Here is an 11,871-nt window from a genome sequence, read left to right as displayed (position 1 = left end):
AGTCCCAGCTACTTGGGAGGCTGAGGCAGGAGAATGGCGTGAACCCGGGAGGTGGAGCTTGCAGTGAGTGGAGAACATGCCACTGCACTCCAGCCTGGGCGACAGAGCAAGACTCCGTCTCAAAAAACACAAAAAAAATTAGCTTGGCGTGGTGGCGGGTGCCTGTAGTTCCAGCTACTGGGGAGGCTGAGGCAGGAGAATTGCTTGAACCCTGGAGGTGGAGGTTGCAGTGAGCCAAGATCACACCACTGCACTCCAGCCTGGGTGACAGAGCGAGACTCCATCTCAAAAAAAAAAAAAAAAGAAGAAGGAAGGAACAAAGAAGAGAAAGAAAGAAAGAAAAAGAGAGAGAGAGGAGCCAGGGGTGGTTCATGCCCTGTAATCCTAGCACTTTGGGAGGCCGAGGCAGGAGAATCACTTGAGACTAGGAGTTCAAGACCAGCCTGGGCAACATAGCACAAGATTCCATGTCTACAAAAAAATTTTAAAAATGAGCCAGGTGGGCCGGGCGCGGTGGCTCACGCCTGTAATCCCAGCACTTTGGGAGGCCGAGGCGGGCGGATCACGAGGTCAGGAGATCGAGACCATCCCGGCTAAAACGGTGAAACCCCGTCTCTACTAAAAATACAAAAAATTAGCCGGGCGTAGTGGCGGGCGCCTGTAGTCCCAGCTACTTGGGAGGCTGAGGCAGGAGAATGGCGTGAACCCGGGAGGCGGAGCTTGCAGTGAGCCGAGATCCCGCCACTGCACTCCAGCCTGGGCGACAGAGCGAGACTCCGTCTCAAAAAAAAAAAAAAAAAAAAAAAAAAAATGAGCCAGGTGTGGTGAGACCAAGGTGGGAGGATTGCTTGAGGCCAGGAGTTCAATGATGCCATTGCACTCCAGCCTGGGCAACAGAGCAAGACCCTGTCTCAAAAAAAAAAAAAAAGAAAAGAAGTAGTAGTGTGAAGGTATGTATGATATGCATGTGCCTTCTCTTTCTTTCTGTCTCTCTCTCTCTCTCTCTCTCCAGCACATGCTACTCTGTGCCCACCCACCCCAGCCCATGGTTGTATTAATGAAACTCAAAGAAGCACTCAGGGCTACACCGAGGTAGGGCAGAGCAGGGGCTGAACCTGGATCCAACTCCCAAGTGTAGGACTTGCTCTGTGAAGCCTTCTTGGGGGCACTTTCCAGAATGTCCCCCAGCACCTATGGCTCTCAGCCTGAGACCCTGAGAGGTAGATGCCAGTGGGTTTTGGGGTTCCTGGGGGCTGCCTGGACTGGCCCGGCCTGACCCAGCTCAACTTACCCCTAGGTGCTCTGGGGCATTCATTATGGGTGACACTGTCCTGGTGCCTGGAGGGCAGAGCTTTCTGGGTTACCCAAGCCAGGTGATGACAGACGGGGTCTGTCCCCAGGGATGTGTCCACAGGAGAGAATGGCTTTAGCTGCATGCTGGGAGCGGCTTCTGGACTGTTCTCAGAAGCGTGGGGCCCTGTGCAGGGCATCTTGGCACTGAGTCACCCTCTCTCCCAGCTGCAGTCCGCAGCGGCACTTTGCCCTACCACTTAAGTACATGCATGCACTCATGCATGCGTGTGTGTGTGTGTGTTTTAAATTCATTGCTTTTGGTCTTCCTTTTATTTTCTTTCTCTTTTTAGAGACAGGGCCTTGCTTTGTCACCCAGGCTGGAGTGCAGTGGCACAATCACGGTTCATTGCAGCCTCCACCTCTTGGGCTCAAGCAATTCTCCTGCCTCGGCCTCCTGAGTAGCTGGGACAACAGGCACACGTCCCCATGCTGGGCTAATTTTTACATTTTTAGTAGCGATGAGGTCTCACTATGTTGCCCAGGCTGGTCTCAAACTCCTGGGCTCAAGCGATCTGCACCCCCTTGACTTTCCAAAGTGCTGGGATTACAGGCACAAAACACCGCACCCAGCCTTCTTTTCTTTTATGAATATAGTGACAGATCTTGGTTGGTGTCTAGTCTCTTCTGGTTTGCTGTGTGACTCTGCACTAGTCACTTGGCCTCTCCGGGCCATAGTTTTATCATCTGCCCTAAATGCCCTTTGAAAAGTTTCTTTGTAAATGGGGTGTTTGGGGCGTGCTACAGGCTGCCGATGGACCAGCATCGTGGTGGTGGTGGGCTCTCAGCTCTTCCTTCACCTGGCTGAGTTCACTATTGTGTCTGAGCCCGGGACCATGGGAGGCTCTGATGCCAGTTTCCTGAGGCTGGGACCCAACCGAAGCCTCCACTTAGGGATCAATCAGGGAGGGCTTCCTGTAGGAGTTGATGCCAGAGTGGGCCCTGGTGAGGCTGGGGAAACACCTTTCCCGGCAGGACGATCAGCCATTGCAAAGACCAGAAGGCAGCTGTAGGACAGTGGGAGTCTCAGAGGGACAGAGGTAGGGCATAGAGTCAGGGACGTCTGAGCGTGGCCCAGTCACTCTGCCTCAGGGTTTAGTTTTGGGCTGGGAAGGAGCTGGAAGGGCTCATTGTGGTCAGAGTTGGGGCACCCCAGGGCATGGCAAGGGCATCTGCCAGACCTGGGTTCCAACCCTGCCTTGGCCATCCACCCCCATGTGACCTTGGGCTTTGAGCCCATCTTCCTCGTTGGTAAAACGTCTAATAGACATGTTGGGAGGAGTAAATTAAAGCAGCTCCTTGCTCCTGGTACAGTTGGGGTCTGCCCCTTGCCCCCTTGGTTTTGGGGTAGTGGCACCCTTGAGCCTTCTCACTCTCACACGGGGCCCTAAAAACCACTACCCCCAAACTGAGGGAGAAAACGCCTAGGCGAGGAACTATCCTGGAAGGATGTGAAGAGGAACTATCCTGGAAGGATGTAAGTGAGGGTGCACCCTCACTTAGGGAGCACCGCCTGGGCCAGGCCTTCTGCCTGGCACTCAGCATGCCACCCTCCCTTACTCCGTGGACTGGGATTCTCCTGGGTGGCCCCTCCCTCCCCACGGTTGATTCCTATTCGTCCACTTTGTCCTGCGTCCCAGAGGCATGGACAGGCCGTGCACTCCAGGTCTCCTGCTGAGGGACCGGAGAGGCCCCTGGGACCACGGGAGCTGCCGAGGGCTAAGGATGCCAGGGGTGGGGAGGGAGGGTGGTGGAAGGGTTCCCGGGTGCGTGTTTGAGCTTTGGGGCGAGGCTGGGGCCCGGGGAGTGAGGACCTGGGGAGTGGAGACCCGGTTGGTGGCAGCGCGGCCCCTCCGGTCTATCCCGATCCTCGTTAGCGCGGCGCCACCTAGCGGCGCCCGGGGGAAGCGGCGGCTCGACCTCGTCCAGAGCGCCTCGTGGGGTCCGGAGTTCCCCGTGCTTCTGCTGCGCCCTCGGGGAGCGAACGACGGGCAGGGGGGACAGGAAGGGGCCGCCCTGGCCTCGGCCAGAGGAGCAGGAGGCGAGGGCAAGGCTGTAACTCCTGACACCTAAGGGCCTGGATGCCCGGGGGAAGAGGCGGGAGGAACGAAGTCAGGGCTGACTCAGCCCTGACCTTGGACCTGACCTTGACCCCAGGCCCTGTAGTTTGCTTCCTTAACCCCAGTTTCCATGAACAGAAGCCTCCACTTAGTCCCATCAGGGAGGTCAAGGGGGAGGCAAGAGAGGAGGGATGTCCAGCCTGGGCAGGGAAGAAGGTCAGCCCTGGGAGTGCAGCAGGGGGGTGGCGGGGGCTGGGTAGGGTGGGCTCAGGGTGCACTGGGAGGGACAGGGGACAGGAGGCACAGGCTGTGGGTCGCAGGCCCAGGATGGGCTGCGGGGTGGGACCTGTGGCAGAGGATCCCAGAAGGCAGTGAGGCCAGGGCTGCAGGGTCTCCTGTCCACCCAATAGGACCCCACCCTGGTTCCTTACAAGTAGGAGGTCCCCAAGCCATTGCCCATATCCTGACCCCCTGTCCTGCAAGCCACAGCCTCTTCCTCCCTCCCCTGTCACTGAAGGACCAACCAGGAATACAGTGTTTAAGTCAAGCAGAATGGACACATCTTTAGGGAGCCCAACGGTGGGGTGCCAGGGTCTGAATGGCGCTGTGTGTAGGGGGGTTATATGCTCGGCTCCCAAGCCTGGGGCAGGTCATTCTGGCTCTGCCCAGATTCCACGCTGACTTTGGGCAGACCAGCATCTTCCCCAGCAAAAGGCCCTGTGGCATGGGGAAATTCCTGCGCATGAAGCTGGAGATGCACGGTCTATGGGTGAGTGGACCCCAGTACTACGGTGGAACCCCCAATACTGCAGGGGCACCTCAGTGCAAGGCAAGGCCGTGCACACCTGTCGTAGGACACTGAGAGACATTAGCGTAGTGATGATGCCTATGTGTGTATGTGTGTGGTCTATGTGAGTACAGCTCTGTGTGTTAGTGTATGTGTGTGCATCTGGTGTGTGACTACATGTCTGTGTGTGCGTGTTTGTGTGTGTCTCTGTGTGTTAGTGTGTGTATTCATTTGAATGTGTAAATACATGTCTGTGTGTAAGTGTGACTCTGTGTGAATGTCTGTGTGTGTCTTTGCGTTAGTGTGTATGTGAATGCATGTCTGTGTGTGCCTGTGAGTATGTATCTGTATGTCAGTGAGTGTATATGTGAATGCATGTCTGTGTGTGTACGACTGTAGTGTGTGTGTGTGAATGTGTGTCTGTGTGACTAGGGGGTTGGAGGGTGTGAGTGGAGCTCTGGGCAGAGTGGTCCCTGTGGCTGTACAATTTGGAAAATGCCCTCTATGCCCTGCCCACCTCCCTGGGGCAGGGGGTGCCGTCCTATTTCCCTGGTGAAGCCTGCAAATTCCTCCTGGTGTAGGGGGTCCCCTTCTCTCCTCTACCTCCCCTCCACGTCTTGCCCACAACCCACAGTCCTGCTCTTTGCAGATGCCCTCTTGGGCTGTGTCTGCTGAGGGGGGCTCGGGGCCACCCTACTTCGTGACTTCAGCCTGAGAATCTTTTTATTTATTTATTTTATTATTTTTTTTTCTGAGACTGAGTCTCACTCTGTTGCCCAGGTTGTAGTGCAGTGGCATGATCTCGGCTCACTGCAGCCTCTGCCTCCCGGGTTCAAGCAATTGTCCCGCCTCAGTCTCCCGAGTAGCTGGAATTACAGGCATGCGCCACCATGCCCAGCTAATTTTTGTATTTTTAGTAGAGACGGGGTTTTGCCATGTTGGCCAGGCTGATCTTGAACTCCTGACCTCAGGTGATCCATCTGCCTTGGCCTCCCAAAGTGCTGGGATTACAGGCATGAGCCACTGTGCCTGGCCCAGCCTGAGTCTTGTATAAGGAGATTCAGGTGGAAAACAACGAGGACATAAAGCTATGTGGTGGTGCTTTAAAAATCAAAATGTGGGCCTGGCGCGGTGGCTCATGTCTGTGATCCCAGCACTTTGGGAGGCCGAGGGGGGCGGATCACCTGAGGTCAGGAGTTTGAGACCAGCGTGAGTAACATACCAAAACCCTAGCTGTACAAAAAATTTAAAAAATCAGCCGGATGTGGTGGCACGTGCCTGTGGTCCCAGCTACTTAGGAGGCTGAGGCAGGAGAATGACTTGAGCCCTGGAAGTCAAGGCTATAGTGAGCTGTGGTTGCGCCACTGCATTCCAGCCTGGGCCACAGAGTGAGAACCCCATTTCTAAATAGATAAATAAATAATAAGAAAAAGCCAGGTGTGGCCGGGAGTGCTGGCTCACCCCTGTAATCCTGGCACTTTGGGAGGCTGAGATGGAAGGTCAGGTGTTTGAGATCAGCCTGCCCAACATGGTGAGACTCCATCTCTATTAAAATACAAACATTAGGTGGGTGTGGTGACGGGCACCTGTAATCCCAGCTATTCAGGAGGCTGAGGCAGGAGAATCACCTGAACCTAGGAGGCGGAGGTTGCAGTGAGCCAAGATTGCGCCACTACACTCCAGCCTGGGCCATACAGCGGGACTCTGTCTTAAACAAACAAATAATTAATTAATTAATTAATTAAATGAAAAAGCCAGGTGCATGAGGATTCTCGTGTTTTTTTTCTGCTGTGTCTGGGGCCTGGAGAAGTCCAGAACGTGCGGCTCCAGAACCGAACAAGGAGAAATAGAGACCTGGTTTCTCAGTGGGAATCTTGGATCCTTAAGGTTCCCTCGCTGTTCGTTTTTTTGTTGTTGTTTTGTTTTGTTTTGTTTTTTGTTTGTTTGTTTTTTGAGATGGAGTCTCACTCTGTTGCCCAGGCTAGAGTGCAGTGGTGTGATCTTGGCTCACTGCAGCCTCTGCTTCCTGGGTTCAAGCGATTCTCCTGTCTCAGCTTCCCGAGTAGCTGGGATTACAGGTGTGTGCCACCATGCCCGGCTAATTTTTGTATTTTTAGTTAGTGATGGGGTTTTGCCATGCTGGCCAGGCTGGTCTCAAATTCCTGGTCTCAGGTGATCCAGCCATCTCTGCCTCCCAAAGTGCTGGGATTACAGGCGTGAGCCACTGTGCCCAGTCACCTTTGGTTTTTTGACCATGCTTGGAGTCTGTTTTCTGGAGAAGAGGAAGCACATTGGCCCGATTTCTATCTTGAAATGACAGGGCTTGGGGACACTGAAGGATGCTGCATAGAAATTTGACCAATGTTTTTTGCCCTTTTGTCATGCCAGTCAGGGTGCAGATGGCCACAGTTGGGAGGGAGGGGAAGTCCCCTTCCTATGTGTGAGCCTACAGCATGCGCGGCTGTCTATGCCCTGAACTCCTTCAGCTTCTCGGCTTCTCAGCAGCCCCCTGGGTGTAGGGGCAGGGCTGAGCCTCTGGGAGGTTATAAACCCTCCTCGATCAAGGTCCCTCCATTTGTAAGTGATACAGGTGGGATTCGAATCCAGGCTAGACCGACCCCAAGGCTGTGCACCTGCCGAAAGGCACGAGCTCAGACCCACACCAAGGGGACGGTGGGGCCTGGGTGTGCCTCAGGGTGGGCACCGCTGGCGCCCGCTGCCTAGAAGCCTGGCTGTTGCTCCCCGGGGCTGTGAGAGCTGGCCTTCAAGGTCATGGTGGACAGTTATTCTGTGCTTGAATTTTGGGTTCAGCGTTTAGGCAGACGTCTGGCCACTCTGAGAACCGTCCCCAGGTGTCATCATTCCTGGGGCCACATGGAGCCCTGACCTGTGCCCCACTTGGGATTGCATTTGTCTCCATTGTCTGGCCTGGGAGGCGGGCACAGGGCTCTGGCAGGCTCTGACGACCTGCAGCTGTGCGGTAGGGCTTGGGTGGTGGGACTCCAGCTTCTCCTCCAGCTTTCTCTCTTTCTCAGCTTCCTCTCCTGCCAGGTGGTTTAGCAACAGGATCAGGTGAGCTTGAAACCAGCCTGGCGGCTGCGGGTGTCTCTGCCCTCTGTGCTCCAGCCAGTCATCGGTCCCACCTAGACACCTAGACCCAGTTCCTGCTTTTCTCTGTCCTTTATTTATTTATTTATTTGTTTGTTTATTTATTTATTTATTTATTTATTTTTGAGACTGAGTCTCGCTCTGTCGCCCAGGCTGGAGTGCAGTGGCGCGATCTCGGCTCAGTGCAACTCCGCCTCCCAGGTTCATGCCATTCTCCTGCCTCAGCCTCCGGAGTAGCTGGGACTACAGGCTCCCGCCAACACGCCCGGCTAATTTTTTGTATTTTTAGTAGAGACGGGGTTTCACTGTGTTAGCCAAGATGGTCTCGATCTCCTGACCTTGTGATCCCCCCGCCTATTTATTTATTTTTGAGACAGGGTCTCTCTCTGTTGCCAGGCTGGACTGCAGTGGTGTGATCACAGCTCACTGCAGCCTCCAATTCCTGGGCTCAAGGGATCCTCTCGCCTCAGCCTCTCAAGTAGCTGGGACCACAGGCACGCACCACCATGTTTAGCTAATTTTTTAATTTTAATTTTTATAGCGATGGGGTTCTACCTATGTTTCCCAGGCTGGTCTTGAACTCCTTGGGCTCAAGTGATCCTCCCACCTCGGCCTTCCAAAGTGCTGGGATTACAGGCATGAGCCACCATGCCCGGATGTCCAGCCTTCTTGCTCTTTAAAATATTTTTTTTTTTTGAGACAGAGTCTTTCTCTGTCACCCAGGCTGGAGTGCTGTGGCTTGAGCATAGCTCACTGCAGCCTCAAACTCCTGGGCTCAAGCGATCCTCCTGCCTCAGCCTCCAGAGTAGCTGGGCTATACTATAGATGCTCACCACCATGCTTAGCTAATTTAATTTTTTTTTTTTTGAGACAAGGGTCTTTCTGTGTTCTCCAGGCTGGTCTCAGACTCCTAGCCTCAAGTGATCCTCCCACCTCAGCCTCCCAAAGTGCTGCAAGAATGAGCCACCTTGCCCAATCCCAGTTCTTTACAAAGTGATTTCCTGCCCATCCTTGGCTTGAGTCCTTCATTGGTCAGCATTTAAAAATTGAGACTGATATTAGTGTCAAAAGACAGGTAGGGAAACTGAGGCATGGGGAGGAAAATGATGTACCTGAGGATGCACAGAAATTGCTGGGCGAGTTGGGCCAAAACGTGGAGCCCTGGATAGTGCCCTTTCGCTGGATTCCTGGATGAGGAGTCTGGGGACATCTCTTGTCTTTATCGAGTGACCTCCTCTGAATGGTTTTGTATTTTATTTTATTTTTTGAGACGGAGTCTCACTCTGTCGCCCAGGCTGGAGTGCAGTGACACTATCTTGGCTCTCTGCAACCTCCACCTCCCAGGTTCAAGTGATTCTCCTGCCTCAGCCTCTCGAGTAGCTGGGATTACAGGTGTGCACCACCACACCTGGCTAATTTTTGTATTTTTAGTAGAGGCGTGGTTTCACCATGTTGGCCAGGCTGATCTTGAGCTCCTGACCTCAAGTGATCTGTCTGCCTCGGCCTCCCAAAGTCCTGGGATTGCAGGTGTGAGCCACCGCGCCTGGCCTCTGAATGGTTTTAGATTTCACCATGTGTGAGCATAGGGATGATGGTGATATATAAATATACGTAACATATTTTAAAGACAACATAGAAGTTTGTTTCTCTTGCATATAATAGTCTGATGACAAACAATCCAGGGCTTCCACGGCAGCTCCACAATCTCAAGGAACCATTTTCCGTTTTCCTTGTATCTTGCTGGGTTTTCTTGTCTTGCTCAGTAGGTGACTTCTATCTTTGGGTCCAATATGGCTGCTTCAGCTCCCGCCATCGCTTCTGTAACCCACCCAGTGGCAAGGGGGAAAGAGGAAAAGTGTGTGCCTTTCCTTTTCCCCCACCCCCTAGTTTAAAAAAATCAGATGGACTGGATGCGGTGGCTGATGCCTGTAATGCCAGCACTTTGGGAGGCCAAGGCAGGTGGATCACCTGAGGTCAGGAGTTCGAGATCAGCCTGGCCAACATGGCGAAGCCCCATCTCTACTAAAAATGCAAAAAATTAGCTGGGCATGGTGGTGCACGCCTGTAATCCCAGCTACTCAGGAGGCCGAGGCAGGAGAATCGCTTGAACCCAGGAGGTGGAGGTTACAGTGAGCGGAGATCACACCATTGCACTCCAGCCTGGGCAACAAGAGCTAAACTCCATCTCAGGAAAAAAAAAAAAAAATTCAGATGATGCAGCCTGGGCAGCATGGTGAGACTCCATCTCTACTAAAAATACAAAAAAATTAGCCAGGCATGGAGGTACTTACCTGTAGTCCCAGCTGCTCAGCAGGCTGAGGCGGGAGGATTGCTTGAGCCAGGGAGGTCAAGGCTGCAGTGAGCTATGATCGTGCCACTGCACTCCAGCCTGAGTGACAGAGGAACACCTTGTCTCAAACCAAACCAAACAAAACAAACCCAAAAAACAACCATCAGATGAAGATATTTTAGAGAAGAGATTAAGGCTCAGAGAGGTTAAGTGCTTTGTGCAATGTCACACAGCATGTGAATGACAAGGCTGGGCCTCTTGGGTCTGCTGACCCTAGGACTTAGCTTGAGCTATGTGTGCTGTTTTCAGGAGAAGCTATGGCCGTATACAGGGCACAGGGATGGGGAGGGGGGCTGTACCCAGTGTTCCCCCCACCCCCGAGCAGACAGAGAAATCCATCTGGGGCCTCCACTCCTGGGAGCCGGGCCAGGAATTTTCCCCACAGCCTAGGAGAGGTCACATTAGTAATCTGCCTGTCCTTCCCTTCTCTTCCCAGGAGCTTTAAGATGCTGGGAAAATAGGAATGACTTAGTAATGAGTTACTTTAATTGGATTTTCCCCCAGTATTGGTATGCAGAGGTTATCGTTGAATGATTTACTGAGTAGCCCATGCCAGAGTTCAGCTGTGGTGCAGGCGTGTGTGTATGTGTGTGTGCATGTGCGTGCCTGGTGTGAGTGCACAGACACGCACTTCTGTACAGATATATGTCTGTGTGCATGCGTGTGTATCCTGCACTTTCAGAAGGGCCTCAAACAGCTCTTTATCCAGTGGGCACTTCTGCCTCCACCCCTCTGTCCCCGCCTCCCGCAGGAGGGAAGCCAGGAGGGGGACGGCTGGCAACGGGGCACAGCGAGGAGCTGTGTCTGGGATGGTGTGTGTTGTCACTGGCAGCCAGTCATATGAGTCACCGGCCAAATTAACTCAAGTTTCCTTTGGGGAAAAATGTAATCAGTTATTGCATTCTGGTTCATTTTAGCAAATTAACTCGTTCAGTTTTTTATTTTTATTTCTTTTTAATTTTGGGGGTGGCAGTGGTGGCTACAGCTGGGGAGGGGGTTGGTGGAGGCCTGAGTGAGTGGAGGCAGCTGTGTGTGCATGTGTGTGTGAGTGTGTGCGTGTGTTCACGTGTGTCTGCGCACGTGTGTGCACACATGTGTCCGTGTGTGCGTGTATGCATGTGTGTGTTTGTGTGTGCATGTGTGTCCACGTGTGTGTGCGTGCGTGTGTGTGTGCATGTGCGTGTGTCTGCACGTGTGAGTGTGTAAAGGCCCTAAGGGTACTCGAGGACCGGCTTCCAGAGAAGGTGGGTCAGGGCCGAGCCTAGGACAGGGGCTGCTGTCCTGGGGCCCGACATGACCTCATGTCCTGCTCAGACCTGCAGGTGGAAACACCCCTTTGAAGAAGGACTTTGCTGCCCACAAAGCATATTCCCTCGACACTCTTGTGCCCACTAACCAGGAGGGCATGGTAGCTGGGCTGTGCCCAAGTGAGGGGGGCTCCTGGGGCCTGAGTGGGCCTCGTGGGACATATTGCCTCCTCGCCACAAGGCGCCGGTCTGGAAGATTCCACCAGGCCTGTCTGTGTGTGAATGATCCCACTGTTGTGGTTCCCAAGGCACCGATGGGCTCAGTCCTCCAGCCTGGGGTTTTTATGTTTGCTCTTGCATTTCATTCTTACTTCTAGCCCTAAGGTAGGTACCGCAAACCCTGTTTTACCCCCTGAGCATGGGAATCTCACCCAAGTTCACACAGTGACCCCGGGCCCTGCTCCCTTCGCCTCTCAGTAGGGCCCTGTATCTTCCCCGCCTCAAATGGTTGGGGGTACAAAAGGCATTTTATTTTATTTTATTTTTGAGAAGGGGTTTGGCTCTCTTTGCCCAGGCCGGAGTTCAATGGCATGATCTCGGCTCACTGCAACCTCTGCCTCCTGGGTTCAAGCAATTCTCCTGCCTCAGCCTCCTGAGTAGCTGGGATTATAGGTGTGCACCACCACGCCCAGCTAAATGTTTTTGTATTTTTAGTAGAGATGGGGTTTCGTCATGTTGGCCAGGCTGGTCTCGAACTCCTGGCCTCAGGTGATCTGCCCACCTTGGCCTCCCAAAGTGTTGGGATTACAGGCATGAGCCATTGCTCCCGGCCAGCATTTGATCTTAAAGAGTTGGCTAGGTGCCAGGGCTCATGTCTGTAACCCCAATGCTATGGGAGGCCGAGGTGGGAGGATCAGTTGAGGCTGGGAGTTCAAGACCAGCCTGGGCAACATTGTGAGACCCCATCCC

General features: G+C 53.5%; 3 annotated features.

Moving 5' to 3' along the window:
* Positions 3,057-3,186: a silencer, noted in NCBI's record as "silent region_18487". NCBI's record gives its function as "represses an Ori minimal core promoter by ATAC-STARR-seq in GM12878 lymphoblastoid cells {active_cell/tissue: GM12878}" and the evidence as "EXISTENCE:reporter gene assay evidence [ECO:0000049][PMID:35858748]".
* Positions 10,264-10,772: an enhancer, noted in NCBI's record as "H3K4me1 hESC enhancer chr19:7309904-7310422 (GRCh37/hg19 assembly coordinates)". NCBI's record gives its function as "activates a minimal SCP1, AML or CMV promoter by ChIP-STARR-seq in naive H9 embryonic stem cells {active_cell/tissue: H9 hESC(naive)}" and the evidence as "EXISTENCE:reporter gene assay evidence [ECO:0000049][PMID:30033119]".
* Positions 10,773-11,288: an enhancer, noted in NCBI's record as "H3K4me1 hESC enhancer chr19:7310423-7310940 (GRCh37/hg19 assembly coordinates)". NCBI's record gives its function as "activates a minimal SCP1, AML or CMV promoter by ChIP-STARR-seq in naive H9 embryonic stem cells {active_cell/tissue: H9 hESC(naive)}" and the evidence as "EXISTENCE:reporter gene assay evidence [ECO:0000049][PMID:30033119]".

Source organism: Homo sapiens, chromosome 7 (assembly GCF_000001405.40).
Source record: "Homo sapiens chromosome 7, GRCh38.p14 Primary Assembly".
Lineage (NCBI taxonomy): Eukaryota > Metazoa > Chordata > Mammalia > Primates > Hominidae > Homo > Homo sapiens.
This window is presented reverse-complemented; position numbering and strand designations above follow the sequence as displayed.